Genomic DNA, 26,180 nt, shown 5'->3' with positions numbered 1-26,180 from the left:
TTCCAAATGCCAGTGATCACACCTACTCCAACCAGCCTGAAGAGGGAAAGTGCACGTAGGATCTCACAGGCTGGGCCGGGAAGTGGTGTGTGCCATTTCCATCCACTTTTATTGGCTGGGACTCAGGTGCATGGCCATGCCTAACTGTAGAGGAAGTTGGAAAGTGTGTCTAGCTGTGTTTTAGACACAGGAATAAGAAAAAGAATTTGGGCTGGGCACAGTGACTCATGCCTGTAATCCCAGCACTTTGGGAGGCCGTGGCGGGTGGATCACCTGAAGTCAGTAGTTTGAGACCAGTCTGGCCAACATGGTGAAACCCCATCTCTACTAAAAATACAAAAAATTAGCTGGGTGTGGTGGTGGTTGCCTGTAATCCCAGTTACTAGGGAGGCTGAGGCAAGAGAATTGCTTGAACCCAGGAAGTAGAGGTTGCAGCGAGCCAAGATTGTGCATTGCACTCCAGCCTGGGCAACAAGAGCAAAAATTCCATCTTGAAAAAAAAAAAAAAGAATTCGAGTGAAAAGCTAGGAGTTTCTGCCACGTATTATTAATACAGTCATCCCTCGATATCTAAGGGGAATTGGTTCTAGGATCTCCCTTGGATACCAAAATCCATGGATGTTCAAGTCTCTGATACAAAGTGATATAGTATTTGCATATAACCTGTGCACATCCTTCTAAATACTTTAGATCAGCTCTAGATTATAATACCTAATAAAATGTAAACTATGTGTTATACTGTGCTGTTTAGGGAGCAATGGTGAGAAAAAGAAGTCTGTACATGTTCAGGACAGATGCAATGTTTTTTTCTAAAAACTTTTGATCCACGGTCGGTTGAAGCCATAGAGGCAGAACCCACGGATGTGAAGGGCCGACGGCGTCACTTTATCTGAGATCCTTTCTGTTACCGAAAGGCTGAATCCATGTCTGACCCATCCCCACAAAACTTCTTATAATAATTGTGACATAGTTGCCACTGCTCAATAGATAATGAATGAATGAACCCTACCTAGTTCTACTGTTCAGGACTAGTGAGGATCTAGTATTTTTATTCAGGGGTAAACAAGAGCCACCACTCAGGTCATGGAGGAGAAATGGAGTAGGAACTTGATGTCTGAGAAGGAAAAACCTTCTTAGGGGGAAGGCAGGGTACCAAGCCTGGACTAGAAATAGAGGTAAAGGGAATGTAAACGTCCTAGACTTTAAGAGGATGCTGACCAGAAATAGTCTGGACTTGCATTGTTAGGGAACCTGTGTGATTTTTTCCCCCCTAAACCAGATAAAGCTTACCTCTCTATAACCCTTGATGTTCTGGATTACAATCCTTGATGGGTTTTGGTCTGTGTTTTCATGACATGCTTGTGTTTCTAGAAAAGAAGTATTCTGTTACTTGTGAGAAGACAGGCCTGAAAGTACACTGTTGACTTACTCTGAGAAGCAGGGATGTCTCTGTAGCCTAGGAAATGCCACAGGACCCAGAGGATTGGCAACGAGACTCTGGGGTGACACCCAGAGAAACAAGTGGTGAGGACAGCTGGTATCCTGGCATTGCCCGGTAGACAGGATGGAGGCCTTCATTGATAGAACAATTTTTTTAATGCATTAGATGGTCTTGATAGTGACACTGGGCAGGCAGGTGGGGCAAGGGAGACTATCCCAATTCTCCATGTACTCTCAGCACAGGACAGCCTGAAAGCACCAGTGTCTTGTGTAATGACTTGTGCTAAGGCAACTAGTGAAGGAGGATAGAGGCAGGCCCAGAATTCCCTCTACACTCCAAGCCCTGGTTTTATTGTAATGTCAAGAGCCAGTAAGTAGGGTGCATGATCTTCCATTCTGATTTGGCTTCCCCTACCCTCCACCTATCCATCAGGGAATAATTGATTTCTCACTGTACAGTCTAGTCCCCCCATTATATACTTACTCTTAGAAAGTATGTACAGATAATGGGTGCAGTTTCTTCTTCCCTGTAGGAGGGTTGCAGGAAGAGCTCCTCCCATAGGCTCTCACAGCCAGTTGTTTTTTCACAGGTCCAAGAACACAGCAGCTCTGTTCCACAGTTGTCCTGCTTGGGGAGTGGACTGAGGGCTGATGGCATTCTGAAGGCGTTTTTTCTAGGATTGGACATGGCCTACTGGAACACACAGGTCACTGGAGGAAGATGAAGTAGTATGCCCAGCCCTGTGCCCCAGTGCATCTTCAGAAGCTGGTGGCCAGGCAGCCAACATCTAGGGGCAGGTGTATATCCTTCAGGGCTTATGAATCCACCTTCTTTCTTCCTTCAAGGGGAAAAGGGGTGATTGGGCCAGGTAATTTTAGTATTGGATAGAAGTTCTGATCATTTAATATTTTACAACTTACATGAAAATCAGCTTAATGTGTTGAAGGCTACTTGCTTTTTCAGTGGAATTTTTAAATGGTGCAGCAATTACTTTGGCTGCAGTAAAAGCTTGGAATGAGTCAAGTAAAGAGTATATATAGTTTCATTTCAGTATCCCCAGTGGCACATGTAGTTATTAAGATTTAAAGCATTTTGGCCTTGAGATCATGAAATTCCTAGAGCTAGGGGGAAGGGGTGGAGATGAAGGGACAAAGGAAAGGAAGAAGGGTGAGAGGATTCTTGCAAATACCCATAGCTGTTAACACTATTTTATAGAGCACTGTCCATCTGAAAGCCTTGGAGCACTCTGAGGGTCATACCATCAATCCTCACACTGTCCCCTTGCAGGAATAAAGGCAACTGGCAATAGGTATGAAATATGAAAGAAGATGGGGAGTCAGTAGGATGCAAAATGTCACTCAAGTAACTTTTTACCTTGAGCGCGGGGCCAGTGGTCCCAACTCCTTTTTGAATGCAGGGACTGCTCACAGGGCCTTGCCATGGACTGAGTAAAAGAATGAAGACTGCCATCTTGCTTTATGACCCATGGCAGGGGTACACTAGAATTGAACATGATGAAAAATCATTTTAATTGGAATAGGAACAAGGCTAGACTCTTAGGCTGGGCCAAATGATAACTTTACTCATCTCCAATTTAATTATGAGGTTGTTTGCTTGAATGTGGCTACCATTTTAGAGCTACAAAAAGTGACAACATGAAAATACTCACTATTTAAAAATGAGTGAAAAAGTTGCACATAGATGGGTGGAGGAAAGGAACATCATGCCCTTCATTCTAGCCCCTCCCCCAGCACTTATTCCCCACCCAATGAATCTCATTAGTTGGTGTATAAGGGATGAATTGTACTTTAGTCATGGTTGAATGTATCCCATTTCCTTTTGGTATTTTGAGACTTTTTTTTTTTATAATTATGCTTTTGTGATGAGAGAGGTATTGGGATTCTCTGGGGTTTGGGAATATCTTTGCTTTATCCTAAAAGCACCTGTCTATTCCCTCTGTGCAATGGTTTCTAATCCTGCCTAGGATGGAGAGATACAAAATGGGCTTCTAATTTCATGGTTGAAGTGAGAAGAGATAATATCAGCTCAGTTTCCTGCGTAAAAATTATTTCTCATATAAACCTTCTAGAAGTTTGCCTTTGTTGCTGCAACACGGTCAGAAGGATAAGCATGTATATATGTGTACATATAGTTTTCATTCACATGCATTTATAGACTGATCATGAAAAGAAATTCTTTTCTTAACCCAAGATTTAAGAAGTTCTATGTTATCAATATGAGTGCCAGGTGATATCTTTTAAGCATTTTGTAACATGCCCTGAGATACAACCATGGCAAGTATCAGATATATCAGCCCTTTCTAGGGAGCAATATTTTAGGCATCCTTAATGGTGGTTACCTCAAAATGATCATTCCTGCACGGACTCAGCATATTGTTTATGGGCATTTGCTGCAATGTAACATAAAGGGAGCTGAGACAGGAGAGGGTTAAGGAAAATAAATGGGGTCCAGTGTGAACATCTTTCCCCCTTTTCAGCTTTTTAGAAGATAAATGTTTCAGATTTCAATCTGTGGTTCCCAGCAGTTCTTTTGGAACACTGCAGTCGGCCCACAAAAATCGCTACTGCTGAGCCAACCCTAGATAATGCGCCTCAGCAGGGATGACATAATGTGCTAAAAGAAGACTATGATGTAATGCCCATCTCAGAAATCAGAGCCAATTTCCGTTACAAAGCCTTGGAGTCTAGCAGGAGGTAATGAGCTGGCATAAATTGTGCAGCACAGAAAACTTCTAGGTCTGATATTCCTATCTGCATTTTTAAAGGCAAAAAAATTAAAAATGAAACAGAATTCCTAGATCTGCTGGGCAGAGCATCTGCTCACCAAGAGGTCTTGCCCCCTTCCAATTTGGACAGACTGGTACTCCAGGCTCCCTGGATCACCTTGGCCCATGTGGGAAATTGTTGTCTGGGTCTGTAATCTGCACAAAGTGGTGATGTAATTTATAATGTAATTTCAAATTTGTTTCTGCAGATAATGTTTGAGGAGAGGGTGTGGTGTTTGAAGGAGATCGTGCCTTTCCTGAAATATTGGGATAAGTAGGCTGGAAATGCCTAGGAGGAAGCTGGGGGTGAGGAGTGGTGAAGAAAGTCAGAATCACCTTGAAAACTTTATTAGGTGCAACCTGCTCTGGCATGCAGAAGTCTGTGCATGGGGAACCTAAAGGCTCCCAGATAACAAATCTCCTGCAGCCTCCCGTGGATTAATTATGCATTCTGACCTTCTGGGGTGTAGCCTGCCTGGCAACCAGCAACTAGGGTCCAGCTCTTTGTCGTGTTTAACAGAAATGTTGAAAACAGACATAAATTCACCTAAGTAATGATTTAGAGTTCCAGAGAGTAAGGAAAGAAGCACGATCTTTGATTTCAAAAGTGTTCCATCACTACAGTTTTCTATTTTAGTTCATGCTTTCCTTCATTTTATTTTTAATTGCTTGGAGTGTTTGCATGAGGAACACATTTCTATTTTACTTGCCTTCTATGATTTCTCTTATGTTCCTCACTTGGGGCTTGATCCTGTAACATGCGCTGCACAGCAGCAACTCCCTCTGGATGGAACAGTAGTGGTTTTGTGTCACTGCTTGTTGAAGATCAGGCCTTCAGAGCCACAGACCTGGGGGGAACAGGAGTGTGTGTGACAGCATTGGCAGAGAACTGCTGGCTTCACAAACTGCTACTGTGTCTTTAAATAGGGGATAAACATCGGGAGCAGATGACAATTTGCTGGTATAAGAAAACGAGAGAAATAAAACAGAAAACATGACATATAGGCTGAAGAGGAGTTGCTTCTATGACATGCAAACTGAAACGGCATTGCTTTCTAGATCTTTCTATGAAATGCCAGCCAGTCTTTTATTCTTACCTGCTAAAAGGACGGTCACTATCAGAGCCACTGGTGGTCATTTGCAGCCTGATCATGGGTCAAATATTAATACTATTAATGATGATGATAATTTTTAGCTAGTGTTTTTTAGTGTATAGCAGGTGTTATCCTAAGGTCTTTGTATTGTCTTATTTAATTTTTACCAGAACCCTCTGAGATAGGTACTAGTATGATCCTTTCCATTTCACAGAAGAGGAAAACTGAGGCTCAGAAGGTTTAAATAACTTGTCATGCTTGCACACCTAGTACTTGGCCCACCTGGCACTGGCATTCTCAGCATAACCACCTTGGAGCACTAGCGTTCAGATGCCACAAGGTTTAGGTAGAGATGATCTCTGTCTTTAAGCCAGGTATTCCATGGGGCAAATGAATTCATCACATTAATATTTGCACAAAGCAAAGGATTGTTGCCTTTTATCTTTGTATTGTGTCACTGGGCCCCTGTTTGGTATATACCAAGTACTCACTAAATGTTTGCTAAATATTAGAGGAGGAGGTGAGGGAGAAAGAGGCAGAGAACAAGTGCACAAAGAAATAAAGTATAAATCAAATAGAGAGCTCAGTGAGAATGACATGGAGTCAGGTTGCTTCTAGTTTATCAGAGAAGACTACCTGAGGAAGATGGTCAACAATGTGTCTGCATTCACAGCTAAATAAGATGAAAGGGCTATTGCTTTTTGTTTCCAAATTCTTTAGCATCTGACTAGGTGATTGAGGCTGCTCAGTGAATAGATGTTAGAGACACGTGAAGATTGAATTCTTTATTAATAGGGACCATTCATGGATAGGTTCTTGCTAATTCAATAATGTCAGTTTTAAACAAAATCGCTGATATAAAAAGGGATGGGGAACTGGGTGCAGTGGTGCATGCCTGTAGTCCCATATACTCAGGAGGCTGAGGCAAGAGGATCACTTGAGCCCAGGAATTTGAGTCCAGCCTGGGCAACATAATGAGATCCCATCTCTACAAAATAAATAAATAAATAAAAATGAATGCAGACAGGAGCATATATTTGACAGGAAGAATATGCTATAGCAGAATAATTGATTTGGGCAGTTTGTAATATATTTTATATTCAACAGCTATGGGCCCACCACTGTATGATTACGTGCAAAACGAGTACACAACAGAAAAGATTGAGACCTCCTGTGCTCTTTTCAGTATGACATATCTGTGATATCTAATGTCTATTTGCTTATTCTATCATTCTACCCTCTGAAAACATATGGAAGAGACAATACAGTTAAAAAACTCATAGCAAATGAAACATCCTTAACCTGTAACAAAATCATTCATCAATCAATATTGGTAAGTTCAAAATCTCACACTTTCAAGTGTCTGCTTGACACGGTGGAATTTTATTTTCATCACAAACACCCTAGGAACTGCTCCTCCAGGCTTCACACCAAATTATTCCTGCTCTTCCTCTATCAGTGGTGCCTGGTGATTCTGCCTCCTCTCCATTCTTGCTGGAGTGCTCTTTATCTCTCACTTTGATGATCATAAGCAGATTCCTTCCTCTAGTGTCTCTCATCTGTGGTCTCTAATTCATTGAGGCCCAATGAATCTGCCTAAAGACAGGCCCTCTGAAGAATGGTCAGTGGCTGCCCGTCACTTAAAGAATTTACCACAAGCTTTCTGGCTTCTTCTTGATACTCTGCAACTTGGCTTCTAAAACATGCTTCCAACTGTGTCTCCCTTCGTTTATCTATTCCACATATTAGCCAAACAGGTCCACTTGCTAGTTCCTAAGCAGGCCTTTGATTTTTATGCCTTTTTGTCAATTTCCTTTCCCAGAAAGCTCAGTCTTCAGTGACCTCTTACTGTGTTTAAGTCCTTTCCATCCTTCAAGTCCCCGCTCAAGAAGCCACCTCTTTGATAAGCATTTCTTGTATCCTTCCAACTGGAAGTGACAGACTCCCTCTCTGGACCCCACAATACTCAGGCTGAGCTTGTCTTTAGGCACCTAGCTGACTCCTCCCTATGGCACAGTTGTTGATGTGCAATGTCACAGTCTTAGAATTTTGCAACCAGGAGGCATATTTTTCTTCTCCCTAATTAAATGGTACATTTCTAGAGGCAAGACTATGTCTCCTTTATATTTATGTCCCTTAGAGTGTGCAGCATAGTTCTTAGCACATGGCAGATGTTCAGTGGATGATTGTCAAATCAATGAAATGAGCATTAAAATCCTCAGTTGCAATATTAACCATGGAAGCATCTATAGTCCCAAAGCTGGAAAATGGGGCTCATTTAGATGTTCCTATCTCTGCCTCCTTCTGCCCCTTGGATATGGATGACTAAGGATATCTGGTTTATCTGAGGAGGCCAAAAATAACACAATATATAGTTGGAAAGAAAAGGATGATTATAAAGGATGACAGGAAACCACTTTCTAATTGGCTTTGTCTAACCATATTTTTTTTTATCCTTTTTGTGTTTCTTTCCCAACCCCCTTGCCTTCCTCTTGTTCTCCACACTTTTTGACCTATAGTGAGGACCATGAGTGATTGATAGAATTTGGAAAGATAGTATTAGATTTCTTGCTCAATGAAATTTTTTTTTGTTCTCCTGAATGTGAGTTAAAGAAATTTAAGTCTTGCTTTCTCATTTTATAAAATGAAAGGGTGATGATAGATTAACCCTACTTTTCCTTATAGCATAAGAATCTGTTGAAATCTTGTAAGAGACAGTACTAAAAGCATTTTTCCCTCATTGGGCTGGTGAATTTTTGAGTAGAACATTGACATTTTCTTTGCTACAGATACCTTTACAGAGCATATGTAGAACAAAATTGCACAGCACCAAATAAAATCCATTCATAGTAAACCTTGAGACAGTAGAAAGGATATGAATTGATTGGTACAAAAAGTAACAAGGCTAAAGAAATTAGGGTAATAAAACTCCCCTGTAAAATCTAGCAAAGTAGAGAAAAGGGTGGCTATTACCAGGTGAAACATAGCAACTGGAGGGGTAGCCTTTTCTGGAAGTTGATGTAGGTACAGGCATCTCTGAATTCAAGAAAAAAAAAAAAAAAGGCTTTTCTTGTCCATGCTGAAGCTCCTGTTAAAAGACGCGTTAGTGAGCCTCCATCCCTGAATAGCTATGATGCAACTCCACCTCTGACATCCTTAAAGCATTTCCTCTGACGGAAGATCACAAACTTAGCCTATTCAGGTTGACTTGAAGCCTACTACTTCCTGCCTAAACCAAAATAACTATGAGCCAAGTCAAAGGATAAGATAGTTTTGAATCGATCAGTAGAAAAGATGATAATGAGATGGGTGCCATCAAGAATACGTTGCTTCCACAGATGGGTCCCAGAGTCTTCTGCCCATGCTGAGTAAATAGGGCAGGGAGAAAAGACCTCCCAGGAGATATATGTGGATCACGAGCAGTTCTCTGTGACTACCTACTGGCACCCTCCTTCCAGGAATGAACTCACCCACTGACTTCAAGAGAGTGCAGCCCATGCCTGCTGTTGACCACAGTCTTGTTACCAACACCTTATGGTTAACTGAATCAAAAGCTTCCGACAGGTCTAAAATTAGCCCAGCTAAACATATCATTAAGGAGTTAGGGAGGAGTGTGAATGACCTTCCTTCAGCCCTGTCTCCCATATCCAGTCAGCTGTGGGGGCTCATTGGAGTGCTAAATTGGGCTTTTAGGCTCTGGAAATAAATGACCCTTTAGATTGATTTTTTTTATTGCCTGAAGGTGCATATTTTTGGAAAGTTGGGAAGCGTTCTGTTCATCTATTTTGAATCATTTGAGTATAAAAATGTGGCATTTTCACACTTTGGGATATTCAAGTCCCCTATTCCTTTTTTAAAGTCTCTTAATATTTTTTCAAACCTTTCAAATTAGTTTATTTAAAGGCCATATTTGATTTCCTCACAGTTTCTGAGGTAGAAATGTAACTTTACCAGCTTTGAGGGGGAACAGTCATGGTAGTTCACCATATAGAAGTTATAAATAGGTAGGAATACTATTCTAAGCATTACATTTCTGGTAGGAATTTAAATACCCATGGAGAAGAGTGGCAGAGGCAGGGTCTCTGTGTGTACTTTTTTACACATACCTTTAATGGAAAACTAAAAAGTTAATTCTCTTTATCTTTGCTATTCAGGGACACCCTTATCCTCCATTTCTTTCCAAGTTGCCAGGATAAAAAGACCCAGGGGAAGAAAATAAAGATGACATGGTAGCATTTCTGAACTCTTGCTTGACATGAGCCAGACTGGTTCAATTTCTTTACTTTCCAGCCCAATTATTTTGAAATTCATTTGTCTTCTCACTAAGCCAGCATGTCCCAGTGTATGTTTCCTAGAACATCAGGTCTGCAGGATGTTAATAGATGTCACTTGGAAAAAGAGTTTTGAGTTAAACAGATTTCTTTTCTGCTGGGCTTCTTTCTCAGGTTTCCTAGTGTGTGATGTGAATCTTCAAGAAGGAAATATGGTATGTAACATGTCCCAGGTTTGTTGGCCCTGGATGGCCTTCTTTCCTTCCTTCCTCTATTTTCTATTTATTAAACCAAGTATCTACAGGATTGGTGCTTTGGGGAGTGCAGCCTGGGAAGTAATAGGTGATGGTATTTGAAATTTCAGAATTCCATCTCTTTCAGTTGACTGAGCAGCTCAGCTTCCGAAAGTGATCATCTAGACTGGATACTGGTGTGTTCCAGGTCTCCCACCACTGGATGGTGGCCCTGGACAGTCACTTGTCCTCCCTGAGCCTCATGTGTATAAAATTAGAGAGCTGGGCTGAATGGCCTGTAGGGCCACTTATAATACCCCCTCCCCAAGTTCCTGCAAGGTGGACAGTAGTCCTGGGACTCTACTACTCTGCCCCTCAACCACAGCTGCTTGGACTAGGGATAGAATGATGTTATCTGTTCAGGTTTGAGGGATGTACTTTTTTGGTTTCTTCTTTTTTGGATATTGCCAAAAAGTCATCAACAGTCAAAGCATAAATCTAAGAAATTTTAGACTAAAGGAAATCCTTTAATAAAGGGCAGGTATCTGAAAATAGAAGCTTGGCCAGAAAGCGGCTCCTCTGCCAGGATTTTAATGGAGGCTTCACAGTACAGCTAAGGTCCTTTTCATGATTTTTAATTAAAGTGTGTCTATCCTAATGCTGTAATTATAAACAGACTCTTGTCAAGTCAGAGAGCATTTGCCCTTCAATCATTGTATTTCAAGACACTGTCTACTTTTGACAAGTGATAAATGTCTTTAGTTTGGAGTCTACTATAGAAAAATGTAGCTTTTAGAGTTGTGTCATATTCTCTCTGTTTCTTCCCCCTCAAACCCAGAGCCTGCTACAAATATTTGAAAAGCCCTGACTGGATGTAAGGCTCATATTCTATTTGAAGACACCAGACTCTAAACCCCTCTGGGCTTCAATTTCTTGTCTGTGAAGTGAGATCCTGATTATACTGTCTTGGGAGGCACACCACCAAAGGTTTCTCCATCCTTCTCTAGATCGAAATTTACCCACCTCAGCTTTCCAAGCTGCAGTAGGTTAGGCATTCATAGCTTCTTGGAGATTATTTTCTTGGAGATTTTTCTCTTTACAGCAAGACACTCCTAAATATATGCTGCCATATTTCAAAGAATACATTACTCCTGATGCAAATGTCATATTCTGAAGGTGGCAATAGTGTTTCAGTGACAGGCATATTTGGAGCCATCTTCAATCATACTTCTGAGGCAGCTTCCTCCTTGGCCAAATATACTCAGCCTTTAATAACAGTGTAGAGAAACAAGGAGTGAAGACTTGCTATTTACACCCCATCCCCACTGATGCAGTTTGGATATTAGACCCCATGAAAATCTCTTGTTGAAATGAAACCCCCAGTGGAGGTGGGGCCTGGTGGGAGGTGATTGGATCATGGAGGTGGATTTCTCATGAATGATTTAGCACAAACCCCTTCTTGCTGTCCTCGCTATAGTGAGTGAATTCTCTTGATATCTGGTCATTTAAAAGTGTGTGGCACCCCCTCCCACCCACTCTTTCTCTTCCTCCTGCTCTGGCCATGTAACATGCCTGCTTCCTCTTTGCATTTGCCATGATTGTAAGTTTCCTGAGGCCTCCCCAGAAGCTGAGCAGATGTTTGCACCATGCTTCCTGTAAAGCCTGCAGAATCATGAGCCAATTAAACCTCTTTTCTTAATAAATTACCAAGTCTCAGGTCTCTCTTTCTTTCTTTTTTTCTATCTTTCTCATCTCTCTCTTTGAGACAGAGTCTTGCTCTGTTGCTCAGGCTGGAGCGCAGTGGTGTGATCTCAGCTCGCTGTAACCTCTGTCTCCCAAGCTTAGGTAATCCTCCCACCTTAGCCTCCTGAGTAGCTGGGACCACAGGCATGAGCCACTATGCCCAACTATTATTTATTTATTTATTTATATTTTTTTTGAGAGGAGATTTTGCCGTGTTGCCCAGGCTGGTCTCAAACTCCTGAGCTCAAGAGATCCACCTACCTTGGCCTCCCAAAGTGTTGAGATTACAGATGTGAGCTACCATGCCCTACCTAGGTATTTCTTTATAGCAATGTGAGAATGGCCTAATACACCCACCTTGGCTCAAATAAGCAACACAGGATCAGAGAGGCAAATATAGTACCTGTTTGTGCACTGGGGAATTGTGGGAAAGAATCTCTTCCCCAGTAGAAATCACTACATGGCTATCATAAGTCTACGTTTGCCCTTTAGGTCTATAAAGGGAGGCTTTGCTGTACCAGTTTCTCCCACAGTCCCTTTCTCATAAATCAACTCCCCATTCCCAAGTTCCTCCAATGTAGGCGGTAGACTGTGTGACCTGTCTCAGGTCCCCTAGCCAAAACTAATTGGAATAGGAGTAGACATCTGCCCCCATGAGAACAAGTACATAGGCTGAGCTGATCGGTGATATATTTTTTTTTCTCAAGAATTTGAACTACCAGATTCAGAATTAAACATGCTTGAGACTGTAGAGACAGACCTGGCAACACTGGGTTAGTTTACGCATGTGGCCAGAAGCCGCAGGAATGGAGCGGCTGCTGCTTTCATTCTAAAGACATGTGCTCTCTAGTGCCCCCGTCCTCACGTATGCGACTTGTCTGAGAGTCACCTTCCTCCTCCTCCATGCATTAGAGTTTGCTCCTTATCTTAATACTTCAATTATGCTTTTGCCCAAACTTTTATCATCCCTCTCATTTCTCTTTTCCTAAAATTGGAACTGAGAAATTCTTACAGGTATGACCTACCTGTTGGTTTCTTTCCCATCTATAAAAAAAATTGTTTGCCTACTAGTACACGATGGAGGAATGGCTGGATGGATTTTCATCGCATTTTTTTTCTTTTTTTTGTTTTTTGAGACGGAGTCTCGCTCTGTGGCCCAGCCTGGAGTGCGGTGGTGCGATCTCGGCTCAGTGCAAGCTCCGCTTCCTGGGTTCACGCCATTCTCCTGCCTCAGCCTCCCGAGTAGCTGGGACTACAGGCGCCCGCCACCATGCCTGGCTAATTTTTTGTATTTTTAGTAGAGACGGGGTTTCACTGTGTTCGCCAGGATGGTCTCGATCTTCTGACCTCGTGATCCGCCAGCCTCGGCCTCCCAAAGTGCTGGGATTGCAGGCGTGAGCCACCGCGCCCTTCCTCATCGCATTTTTGAAGAGTAAATTTAGATGGTCTGACTTAAAATACAGGCTGTGTGAAATCCATGAAATGTGAAATTTACCTTTTTGGGATGCATGAGGATAGCGCAAAGAGGAATTTTAGATGTTTCCTAAACACCTGCAGATATTGATTTGTAATCAAGTTGCTTTTGGGCAATTGGCGCTAGCTGTCTTGAATGCTGTAATTTGATGTAGAGGTTGAGGTCATTTGGGAACTAAAGGAGAATTGAGCATTTATGTGTTTCTCTCACAGGAGTCTGGTAGGAGCCATCTCTGCCCACCCTCAGCCAGGGATGGTTTGGTTTTCTGCTGAAAACATTTGAATCACATTAGGATTAAAGCCAGATAGAAGGAGAAAATTAAAGAGACAGAAGAGGCTTCCTACATTTGGTTCCTAAGAAGCTAGACCCTTCCACAGTCAAAGGACAGCACGACTGATTTAATAATACTCAGTCCCTGGGCTTCCATGAGCTCATAGAGAGAAGACTTGGAGGAGATTCAGGGAGACCAAACCATGCGGGACTACAATAGAGGCTTGGGGCTGGAACTGTTGTCTCAGGGACCGAAGGGTGGACTGCGTGGCTAGATGCCCTGGCTATATCTACAGTGTAGTGTGATGCCAATAATCTGGAATTTTGTTTGAGCTCAGCATTTTTTTTTTACCAGAGTATTTCTCATAAAATGTAGAAAGTAATTTCTTGGACATCGAGCTGCTGTCAATGATAACAAATGTATTGTATATATTTTTTCTAAATTCCTGGAAACTGCCTTAGCACATGGTGGGGTATAAAATAACCCCTCCCTTGTGTTAGATTAAGTGGGTTTTAAAAGATGATGGGTGATACATTTTCTTCATAAGATTAGAATTTGGGGGAAATTTTGATGATGTGTCCTGCAGCAATTTCAATGACATTTGGCAGCTTTTATTTTCTGTTGGTGTGGTATGTACACCATTTGGTTCCGCAATAAGCTGGATGTTGTTTTAAACACCATGAATTGCAAACTTCATAAACTGAGGGGAAGTGGAAGTGGTTAGAAAGGCCACTTATAAAAGTCTGTTGGTGGGCACCTGTGGTCCCAGCTATTCGGGAGGCTGAGGCAGGAGAATGGCGTGAACCCGGGAGGCGGAGCTGGCAGTGAGCCGAGATTGCGCTGCTGCACTCCAGCCTGGGCGACAGAGCAAGACTCTGTCTCAAAAACAAAAATAAAAATAAAATAAAATAAAAGTCTGTTGAGTTTGCATGCACAATTTAAAATTTATGGAGATTTCTTTGTTATTAAGAATGATAGAAATGAAAATAATATTTTTAATAAGGTGACAGTATGACTTTACCTACTAATAATACTCCTAACAATCATATAATGTAGGCAATTTTTGCATCTGTGTTCTACTGTTGAGAGATTAATTGACTAAATGACTAAATGACACTGCTGGAGGCTGAGTAAGGACTCAAGCCCAAGTCTTTTCATACTGTTCCTCATCTAATTCCAAATCCAATCCTGCAGTGTTCTCTCTTTACAGTTATTCTTTGTTAAAAATTTACCAGAAACAATAAACAAAACAAAACAAAAACAATTTAAGTATTCAAGAGAAAAAGTACATGGGACAGTTCTTATGCCCACCTCACATCCTCTTACCTTACCTTTTACCCTGGTTATTGCCATGGAAATCTGATACACCATTTATCTCCTGCTTTCTGTCTCCAGGATTTTCTGACTTTGCAGTGTGGGACACCCGGGGGAATCCTCTAGTTCATTCTCATGCATGCATAAGTCTAGAAGTGAGAACTAACATCCATGGGCAATCTTTGACTAACACATGGTGACAGCTGGTCAATAAATGCTCCCTTTTTGATTCTTTCTTTTATATACCTTCACAGTATACCTTGTTTTGATTTTCCCTTCTTTCTTGTTTCATTCTTTCCAGTTCTCAGCCATTACCTGGTTCATTTCCATAAATAAATGACTGACAAGCAAGCCTTGATCTCAGGTCCTATTTTCTAGGAAAAAACCTAAGCTAAGACAAAAGGTTTCTGCAATACCAGCTGCAAGGCTACTCACTGATTATAGTGGGCATTTGTTGTTTCTGGCACTCAGTATTCACTTTCTTTTTTTATACTTTAAGTTCTGGGGTACACGTGCAGAATGTGCAGGTTTGTTACATAGGTATACACGTGCCATGGTGGTTTGCTGCACCCATCAACCTGTCATCTACATTAGGTATTTCTCCTAATGATACCCTTCCCCTAGTCCCCACCCCGCAATAGGCCCTGGTGTGTGATGTTCCCCTCCCTGTGTCCATGTGTTCTCATTGTTCAACTCTCACTTATGAGTGAGAACATGCAACGTTTGGTTTTCTGTTCCAGTGTTTGCTGAGAATGATGTTTTCCAACTTTATCCATGTCCCTGCGAAGGACATGAACTCATCCTTTTTTATGGCTGCATGGTATTCCATGGTGTGTATGTGCCACATTTTCTTTATCCAGTCTATCATTGATGGGCATTTGGGTTGGTTTCAAATCTTTGTTATTGTGAACAGTGCTGCAATAAACGTATGTGTGCATGTGTCTTTATAGTAGAATGATTTATAATCCTTTGGGAATATACCCAGTAATGGGATTGCTGGGTCAAATGGTATTTCTGGTTCTAGATCCTTGAGGAATCGCCACAGTGTCTTCCACAATGGTTGAACTAATTTATACTCCCACCAACAGTGTAAAAGTGTTCTTACTTCTCCATATCCTCTCCAGCATCTCTTGTTTCCTGACTTTTTAATGACCACCATTCTAACTGGCGTGAGATGGTATCTCATTGTGGTTTTGATTTGCATTTCTCTAATGACCAGTGATGATGAGCTTTTTTTCATGTTTGTTGGCTGCATAAATGTCTTCTTTTTGAGAAGTGTCTGTTCATATCCTTTGCCCACCTTTTCATGGGGTTGTTTGTTTTTTTCTTGTAAATTTGTTTAAGTTCCTTGTAGATTCTGGATATTAGCCCTTTGTCAGATGGAACAAATTGCAAAAATTTTCTTCCATTCTACATGTTGCCTATTCACTCTGATGATAGTTTCTTTCACTGTGGAGAAGCTCTTTAGTTTTATTAGATCCCATTTGTCAATTTTGGCTTTTGTTTCCCTTGCTTTTTGTGTTTTAGTCATGAAGTCTTTGCCCATGCCTATGTCCTGAATGGTATTGCCTAGATTTTCTTCTATGGTTTTTATGGTTTTAGGTCTTATGTTTAAGTCTTTAATCCATCTTGAGTGTATTAAATAGGAAATCCTTTCCCCATTGCTTGTTTTTGTCAGGTCGAAGATTAGATGATTGTAGATGTGTGGCATTATTCCTGATGCCTGTGTTCTGTTCCATTGGTCTATATCTCTGTTTTGGTACCAGTACTATGCTGTTTTAGTTACTATAGCCTTGTAGTATAGTTTGAAGTCAGGTAGCGTGATGCCTCCAGCTTTGTTCTTTTTTTTTTTTTTTTGAGACAGAGTCTCGCTCTGTCACCCAGGTGGAGTGCAGTGGTGTGATCTCGGCTCACTGCAAGCTCCGCCTCCTGGGTTCACACCATTCTCCTGCCTCAGCCTCCCGAGTAGCTGGAACTACAGATGCCTGCCAGCACACCCAGCTAATTTTTTGTATTTTTAGTAGAGACGGGGTTTCACCATGTTAGCCAGGATGGTCTCGATCTCCTGACCTTGTGATCCGCCCGCCTTGGCCTCCCAAAGTGCTGGGATTACAGGTGTGAGCCACCGCGCCTGGCCTCCAGCTTTGTTCTTTTTGCTTAGGATTGTCTTGACTATATGGGCTCTTTTTTCGTTCCATATGAAATATAAAGTAGGTTTTCCTAATTCTGTGAAGAAAGTCAATGGTAGCTTGATGGGGATAGCACTCTATCTATAAATTACTTTGGGCAGTATGACCATTTTCGTGATATTGATTCTTCCTATCCACGAGCATGGAATGTTTTTCCATTTGTTTGTGTCCTCTCTTATTTCCTTGAGCAGTGGTTTGTAGTTCTCCTTGAAGAGGTCCTTCCAGAGAGAAAGGTTGGACTTACCCACAAAGGGAGGTCCATCAGACTAACAGTGGATCTCTCTGCAGAAATCTTACAAGCCGGAAAAGTGGGGGCTAATATTCAACATTCTTAAAGAAAAGAATTTTTAACCGAGAGTTTCATATCCAGCCAAATAAAGCTGCATAAGCGAAGGAGAAATAAAATCCTTTACAGACGAGCAAATGCTGAGAGATTTTGTCACCATCAGGCCTGCCTTACAAGAGCTCCTGAAGGAAGCACTAAATATGGAAAGGAAAAACCAGTACCAGCCATTGCAAAAACATACCAAATTGTGAAGACCGTTGACATTATGAAGAAACGGCATCAACTAACAGGCAAAATAACCAGCTAGCATCATAATGACAGGATCAAATTCACACATAACAATATTAACCTTAAATGTAAATGGGCTAAATGCCTCAATTAAAAGACACAGACTGGCAAATTGGTTAAAGAGTCAAGACCCATCTCTGTGCTGTATTCAGGAGATCCATCTCATGTGCAAAGACACATATAGGCTCAAAATAAAGGGATGGAGGAAGATTTATCAAGCAAATGGAAAGCAAAAAAAAAAAAAAAAAAAAAAGCAGGGGTTGCAATCCTAGTCTCTGATAAAACAGACTTTAAACCAACAAAGATCAAAAAAGACAAAGAAGGGCATTACATAATGGTAAAGGGATCAATGCAACAAGAAGAGCTAACTATCCAAAATATATACACACCTAATACAGGAGCACCCAGATTCATAAAGCAAATTCTTAGAGACCTACAAAGAGACTTAGACTCCCACACAATAGTAGTGGGAGACTTTAACAACCCACTGTCAATATTAGACAGATCAGCGAGACAGAAAATTAACAAGGATATTTAGGACTTGAACTCAGCTGGACCAAGGGGACCTAATAGACATCTACACAACTCTCCACCCCAAATCAACAGATTATACATTCTTCTCAGCACCACTTTCTTTTTATGATTACTATAGCCTGATGTCCTCTTTTCTAACTCAGTTCATGTGTCTTTGGGGTATACCTGATTCCATTCCCTGATGCCATATGACCCAGGCTGCAGTCTGGGTTTGGAGGTGAACACGTGACCCAATCAAATGCTCTGAGACTTTTTTTTTTTTGAGACGGAGTCTCACTGTGTGGCCCAGACTGGAGTGCAGTGGTGCGATCTCAGCTCACTGCAACCTCCACCTCCCGGTTTCAGGCAATTCTCCTGCCTCAGCCTCCCAAGCAGCTGGGATTACAGGCACCCACCACCACCCCTGGCTAATTTTTGTATTTTTTAGTAGAGACGAGGTTTTGCCATGTTTGCCAGGCTGGTCTTAAACTCCTGACCTCAGGTGATCTGCCCACCTTGGCCTCCCAAAGTGCTGGGATTACAGGCATGAGCCACCGCGCATGGCCCTGGTCTGCTCTGAGAATTTTACTGTGAATAGCACTCTTGTTTCTTGTGTACAGGGTCTGTACCCTGAGAGGCTGAGAGGTCCGTGGTGCCAATGCCATCATGCAGCCATATGGGAATTGAGACAAGGAAGGCAGGACTAATTGAAGGGAAAAAAGTCATGTCCTAATCATATTATTTGAGTCCTGAGTTCATTTATGCACTAAACCAGATCGACCCGTGAACTTTTAGTCTGTGTAAGCCCGTAATTGCCTTTTGCCCAAGCTGCTTACTTGCAATGAATGTGTCCCAAGTCTAAGTTTAGGCCTTTCCCTGGACTCACACACATCGGGAGGTATCTCATTTTCCATCACATAAGTACCCTCCCAAAAGGATTAAGGAAAACTGCCATGGAGAGAAAGAATTTTTCCCCATCCCCATTCATCCAATCAAGCCAAAATATTCTGGGTGAAATAATTTGTGGCAGTGCTTCAATCTTTCCTCCTAGAGGAAAAGCAGATTTTTAATATCTTTGCTAATGAGATCATGGAAGCTGTGGCTAATATGGAATCATTTCTGCTTGATGAAAGGGGTGGGTTAGCTGTGTAGTGATGGCTTTGATATGACTCACTTCTGGGGCCCTACTGTCCTCTTCCAATTATTAGAATCGTTCAGGAGGAATGCTTGGTACTAGGCTGTATAATGAGTCCACACCAAGATAATGTATTCACAAGCATTACTGGTGGTGGCTTGGGTAGTCCAGGTTTTTTCTTCTATCATACTTTGCACCTCTGATTTCATTTTCTTCCTATTTGTGCTTGTTTTGCTTATCCAAACTCATGGCCTCCTTCCCTAATCTAAATCAGTGTCTTATGCACATCTGTGTCTTCTGAGGAAGGGTAACTCAGATTTAGAGTTTTAGCGAGAGATCTATTTGGTGGGGTATAGTAGCTAACTGCCCTCCAACTCCACCCCAGCTGCTAGATGCCAATCCATTTCTAACCTACCTGAGGCTGTGATGCAGCTAAAGCCTCCCTAGGCAGAGGAGTAGGAGCTTCATACCAGTCTTGAGAGATCCCAAGCTACTGAAAATCTTAAGGGGAGCCACCTCAATCCCTGGAGCTTAGTTGGCTTCATATTGCCTCAAATTCCAGGGATATGAAAATATCCCTGCCTCCTTAAAGGATCAGTAAATCCATAAGCTCATCTCTATCAGTTAGCCATTCTCAAAGCCTGCTGTCATAGGCTGAATAATTTTATAGTTTTCTTAGTTCTTTGAGGTATAGAAAGCTCTAGAAGAGGTGCCCAGAGTCACTCTGGGACAAATATAAGGGCCTAAGGCAGACTTGAAGACAGGTGTCCTGAACCGAAAGGAAATGCCAGACTAAAGAAAGGTTCTGTTCATTGCGGCAGGCTTCCTGAGAATGCCTTTTTTCCTGCGGACGAGATCTACTGGTATCCATCCAATCATGTTCTCACAGTTAGTTCGTCTTTTGAGGACAATGCTTTCCTTTGAGACAGCCCTCTTTATCTCTGGCATCAGGGTTTCCATGACAGTTGCCAAGGGCCCTTGCGGCTCAGTGTTAAGTATTCAGTGTACTTATATGTTTCTTTGAGTTATTGTTAATTTTTACTGCTAGGTAAAGAAGTATAATGTGGCTAGTTATGTAGTTCTTAGAGTAAAGCTCTAGAAATAACTACTCTGCTTTTTTGCCTGTTTGTATAACTTCAATAAGCTACTTTTTGGTCAAGATGAAGAGGTCCTGCTAAGAAAGAAGACACATGACCAACAGGAGGAAGGAGGAAGGCACTCTGAGTTCTGCTGGTAGGTTGGCCCGACTCACTCCTCAATTGGGATCGCTCAGGTGCATTAATGAGCACCCCATACAGAATCCTGCTTTATTTGAAACTGCCTTCAGGGTCCCCAGTTAAGACCTGTTAAGATTTCGGACATGTCCTACTTTATCTAAATAAATAGAATTGCACAATTACTACAAAAGCACTCCTCCCCGGCACCATCAGCCATCCCTCAGACATTTTGCGTTTATGAATAAAAGGTTTGGGGAGTGGTTTTAGGGATTTCTTACACACCTTGTCGTGTGACTGAGGCTTATCACCAAGCCTTCAGGTGCTTCTCTTGATGGTCACTTGGTAGAGACTTCAAAACGGATAATGAAAGGTTAATGAGCACTTGCTCTGTGCAAGGCACAGTGCTCAGCATCGCAAGATAATAGAAAGAAGAAAGGCTCCTGCCTGCCTTCAACACATTTTGACTAGGAAGCCGGGACACAAAACAGATAAAATTGAACAATGAAATAAGTGTTTTGTAGGAATGCAATACCACAGTCCCAGAGATGCCACATAGCAGCTTGTGATTACTAATTGGCTTTGCTCAATATAATTAACCTTTTCTAGAAAAATAGATGCATCCATTGTTTTACGTAACCTTATTCATCATCTCCCAAAGACAGATGTAGATTTTATTTCTGATGGTGAATACCTCATGATTTGTTTTTCAGCTAAAACATAGAAACAAAGATACTGTTGTCAGTTTATTTATCCAAACTAACAGTTGGTGAAACTAGATTAGATATTTTTATGGCCTAGGAAAAGTTCTGCATCACTGAGTCACTGAGCCACATAGACTCCACCGCTATATCTCTTAAGAAGTCAAAGAAGAAACATGTGGTGGTTAAAAAAAAAAAAATTCTGCAGTCAGATGGGACTAGGCTCACATCTAAGACCTGTCTTGACCAACTGTGTGACCTTGGCCAATTTCCTTAATCTCTCTAATGTTGTTTACTCACTGGTAAAGCAGACACAATAATATTTCTCCCACAGAGATTTTGAAGATAAATGATTTAATGTACATAACACATGTAGCACAGCATGTGAAAGCAGGAGGTACCCATAAGTGGTAGCTTCTACACTGATGTAACATACACATCTGAATCACCTCTTATCAGGTCATTCTGAATCTTCATGTGGGATGACCAGGAATTGAGACATATGCTGAGGCCCAGGGTAAGTTATTCTGGGCACTATCTTGACGAGAGGTGATACAGTTTTAAGTGCCATGTGTATAATAATAGCAATTTAAGATGTTAATGACCTCAAATTTTTTCAAATCTAGAATTTATTTTTATTAATTGGCAATTGGTAATTCATAATTGGTAAATACATCTTTAATGCATTTTCTTTACAAATGAAATTAACGGTATCTTTTAAGGTGAAAACTATAATATGGTCGGTATTGCTGATAACAGTATTTGAATAAAAACTTGGTTTGATCATAGAAAAACTTGTGTGTATCATCACAGGGAGGTAATACAAAAGCATTTAGAAAAAGCAGTGATTTAACCTCCTGGTTGTCAGGGTCAAAGACATTTATATTGTGCTACATAGACAACCTTGTAAAAGAAAATTGTTAGGATAGTGCTATAGGATAAATTGTTGCTTCCCCAAATTTATATGCTGAAGTTTTAACCTCCAGTATCCCAGAATGTGACTGTATTTGGAGATGGGGTCTTTAAAGAGGGAAGTAAGATTAAATAAGGTCACGTGGGTGGGCTCTAATTCAATGTGACTGTTGTCCTCAAAATAAAAGGAAATTAAGACAGACACATATAGACGGAAGACCATGTGAAGACACAGGGAGAAGAAAACCATCTACAAGCCAAGGAAGGAGGCCTCAGAAATAAGCTACACTGCCGAACTTCTAAGCCTCCAGAAGTGAGAAAGTAAATTTTTGTTGTTTAAGCCGCCAAGTAGGTGGTACTTTATTAATGGCAGTCCTAGCAAACTAATGCAGACACCAAGGGAGTCCCAAGGAATTGGAAACTTCTAACTTGGGGCCAGGGTCATTCTATTTAGATCCGGCTACTCTTTTTCTCAAAGGAAAAAGAATGAAGAGGAAACTGGGTGTTTATTTTCTGAACCAGTTACTTTCATTTTTTGCTGAGCCACACCCAAAATGTGATATTAAATATAGAAGTCTGAGAAAAGAGTACAAACTGAATTTTAATAGAAGTCATTTACATATGTGAAAAATCAGCTTAACTAGCTGGGGGAAAGATAAAGTTGGCCATTAAAATAAAGTTGGAACTGATGGCATTCAAATTTTGAATTGTAAACAACCGTATCAAATGTGATTAATTTCTTGAGGTGACTAGCTAGGAAAATCTGAAATTAAACTTCAACACTTATTAACGGGGATTGGTTTGGTCAAGTTACTCTATCTCTTTTTACCTCTGTTTTCCTGTTTGTAAAAAGGGGATGCTTCATGTGGTTGTTGTAATGATTAAATGAGGTAATAATGGATTATTGTATAAAGGTACAATAAACATTAGCTGTTTTATTATTGATGGTAATGTGAAAACATTAAATTGTTTAGACAGTAGCTTGCTGATAAGGAAGAAATACATGGTTTTTCTTGCAGGCAAACTCTGTGGAAAAACTCACATTCACCTTGCAGTGGTTTATACAACGGGTAACAAATGCCGTGGTTGTGATGTGACCTTCTTTTGTAATTACTGTAATGGCTGATATGGTGGTTCTATATTCTCAAGCATCATAACGACAAATAAGCTTACAATGAAATATCCTCATTGCTTACAAGATTGTTAATTAAGGAGATGGTGATACTTGGGTCAGGGTGGGCTGTGTTTAATTGCAGTGTTCTTTATGTGTTCTTTTGAACTGTGAGTGGTTTTCTCTCCTAGGTACCTGTGTATTGTATGTTACAGGAAGTGGGGTATAGTTAGTGACTTATTTTTAGATCTTATTTAACTCTTAGCTCTGCCCTTGTCTGTTATTGCACTTCTAGACACCATAGCTTCCTTGGTTACCATTGCTTCACTAACTCTCTTTACATTTTGTGGTAAACCAATTGATCTTTGAGGCAGAAAAAAAAAACATGCAAAGCTAATGGCTGAGAAATAGATTTCTTTCAAAAACTTTAAAGAAGAGCAGTGACTCAGACCTCAGTGAGCACAACGTTACCCAGGAGCTCTTAAAATAGGAATGTTCTCTCCTCTTGAAGCTGTGGGGATTAGTGCTGTGGGCTTGGGAGTTCCTGAGATGAGGGCCTCTTGGACTTCCCCAGGGCACAGCGTGGGCCCCTGCACTTTCCTGGAGGAGGGTGGGGCTCCTCAGTCCCCATGGACACCCTTCCTGCCACCTGCCGTAGCTGAGCTCCCAGAAGGGAGAGTAGGACAGATTCTGGGGGAGGAGGAGGGAAGAAAGCAGGGTTCCCAAGCAACAAAGCACCATGAAGCCCATGACTGTGCCGTTCCATGTAAGCCCAGGGAAATTTACTTTAGTAGGGAAAAGCTTCCTCTCCTTAGCTCCAGGGTGGTACACAGTCACTCTTCATAAGCCCATCAAATTTTTTTCTGAGGCAGATCCTCCTGGAATGCTATTTTACTTTCTCCAGAAAATTGTTAGAAGTACTAATGGAGTCTAAAATCATAATTTTTTTTTCTTGCTTTCTCTTTCCAGATTGGAAGGCCTTATAAATAAGAGCTCCTTTGGTAGAAATGTTCATGGAGACTTTTGGGCTAATTCCAAACCAGGGTGAAAGTAAGACACATTCTTTCTGAGAGTGCTGACCAGTGGCATATTCATGTTTGAATGGAAATAAACTGAAACATGTTCACTTCATGGGGAAGAGAAACCTGGAAAGCAGGAATGCTAAAGGGGAACTGGGGTGATGGTGGACAGGTAAGGTGAAGCCAGACTGCAATGAGAGAAGGCAGCATGAAAGGCCAGACCTATTTTGGGACCATACCCTGAGTCACAGAGTAACAGAAAGCAGAGGTGACAGCTGGTCTCTCAGTTTCTCAGTGAGCAAGCATCTGGAATATCACTCTGATTTTGTAAAGCTTGAGTTAGGGGCATAGAATCTTAAGGAATTTGGAGAAGGACAAGGAGAGGGGGTAGTCGAAGGGGAGGGGGACTCAGGGAGTCAGATTAGAGGAAAGATTAAAGGATCTAAATATGGATGGCTAATGGGGCTGGCAAGAGTCTACTAGTTCCTGACACCCTACAAAAAAAGACTTATTTATAATAGGAGGTAGTATAATTAGAAGGTAAGAGATGGGAACTGAAAGACTGGATAGCATAAGAAAATGCTCTGGCCAATTGTGTTAGCTTACACAACAGGACTGCCACTTCTCAGGGGTATCTGGTGTGTGTGTGTGTGTGTGTGTGTGTACCCAATTACTTGAGATATTTGAAAAAAGATTTTCAGTAAAATGGCACTGTAAATTTCTCTGGGACAGAGACTGTCATAGCACAAAGTGACCTAATCTATAGGGCCCTAAGAATAGGGCCTATGTGAATATTTTATAATTTCATTTTATAAATTCATTACTTGATCAAAATAAATTATATGTGGTCACCTAACCTCTAAACTTGGCAGCAAGTGTCTGCATGCAGCCCGAATTTTGGTTTATAAAAAACAGAGACTTAGTAAATTAACCTCAAATACTCCTCTAAAATATAAACTTCTTTCAAAAGATTTTGATGTGATTCTTGCAGTCCATTCTGTGATGAGCAAAGGAACTCTACCAGAGCTTAGGGAAGTAGAGGCTTAGACCTCATGTACAGGAAGTATAGCCCTCCCATGGGGGGATGCATGGAGGCCCAGAGAGAAAGAAGGCACGACCATACTCTACTAAATAACTCGTTAATAACTTTGATAAGTGAATCCTGCAGGATACTATGGCATACATGACTCCTCTTATAGGTTATTTGGGATCTGGTTAAATGGTTAGAAATCCATGGAAAAAGGTACATTGTTCATATAGACATAGATTTTGATTCAGACTGAAACAAGCCTTCTTTTTATTAATTCCAGTTTTTTAAAAAAGTTTGCTGCTAGGTTTGGAGGACAGCTGGAAAAAGCCCTTGGACTTGGATCCATGCAAGCCTTCTCAGACATCAGGGGCCTATGAAGGGCCAGACATTTTTGCTGTCTATTTTTACTTATAAATTAGTCCTACCTCCCAGGTGCTGGAAAGCTAATCCAGGCTGACAGATTTCCTTGCTTGGCTGCCTTGGCTCTCAATGGCCTGTGTCACTGCTATTAATAGTCAACTCTATATTCTTAAAGAGCTATCCTGTCTGTTCTGCCAGTCCTGGGGCAAGCCGTGCTAAGATCAAGCTGGGGTTAGGCTGGAGGAAGACAGAGGCAATTAAGAAGTGGGGACGGGGAGGCACCAAAAGAAGAAAAGCCAAGAATTTCTTGAGGGAAATTAACCTTAAGCTGACTTTGAGACTTTCTTTGATACATTCTTTAACGATTGGTTTTCAAATCTCCATAATATAAGAATTAAAGAGCTCAGCAGGACCCATGGGTAGGCAGAAAGCAAGTCTGATTTACCAGATTAGCTGGCCTCTATGAGAAGAGGACTCAAGAGATAATCTAGTTGAGTGAACTTCTCTTCTGGCTCCCTTTTCCTTAAACAAATGTAAAAATAGTCCATTTAAAACAGAGTAATATGTATCTTTTTGCTAGTCTCTTCTTTTGGTTTTCAAAGATTGTTGCATAATTTGGAGCAATTCCAGTCAATCTTGGTGCCTTTGTGTATTGCTATTTATCCTACTGTGGCAGCTCTCAAGCAAAGACTGTACAGTGTGCCCAAACACTTCAGAAATAAAACGTTTGTTATTGGGATTCTGGGGAAATAGAATTTTTGCTTAATTCCTAGTTAAATATAAAACCCCTTTTGCT

General features: G+C 41.2%; 1 long non-coding RNA gene across 2 annotated transcripts in view, besides 1 other annotated feature; it reads left to right on the top strand.

Annotated features, from left to right (window-relative positions):
* Positions 1–26,180, top strand: part of LOC105379013 (uncharacterized) — a 406,546-nt gene that overhangs the window by 97,887 nt on the left and 282,479 nt on the right. The gene's annotated exons all lie outside the window — the stretch shown is intronic.
* Positions 23,118–23,167: an enhancer, noted in NCBI's record as "active region_22637". NCBI's record gives its function as "activates an Ori minimal core promoter by ATAC-STARR-seq in GM12878 lymphoblastoid cells {active_cell/tissue: GM12878}" and the evidence as "EXISTENCE:reporter gene assay evidence [ECO:0000049][PMID:35858748]".

Source organism: Homo sapiens, chromosome 5 (genome assembly GCF_000001405.40).
Source record: "Homo sapiens chromosome 5, GRCh38.p14 Primary Assembly".
NCBI lineage: Eukaryota > Metazoa > Chordata > Mammalia > Primates > Hominidae > Homo > Homo sapiens.
This window is presented reverse-complemented; position numbering and strand designations above follow the sequence as displayed.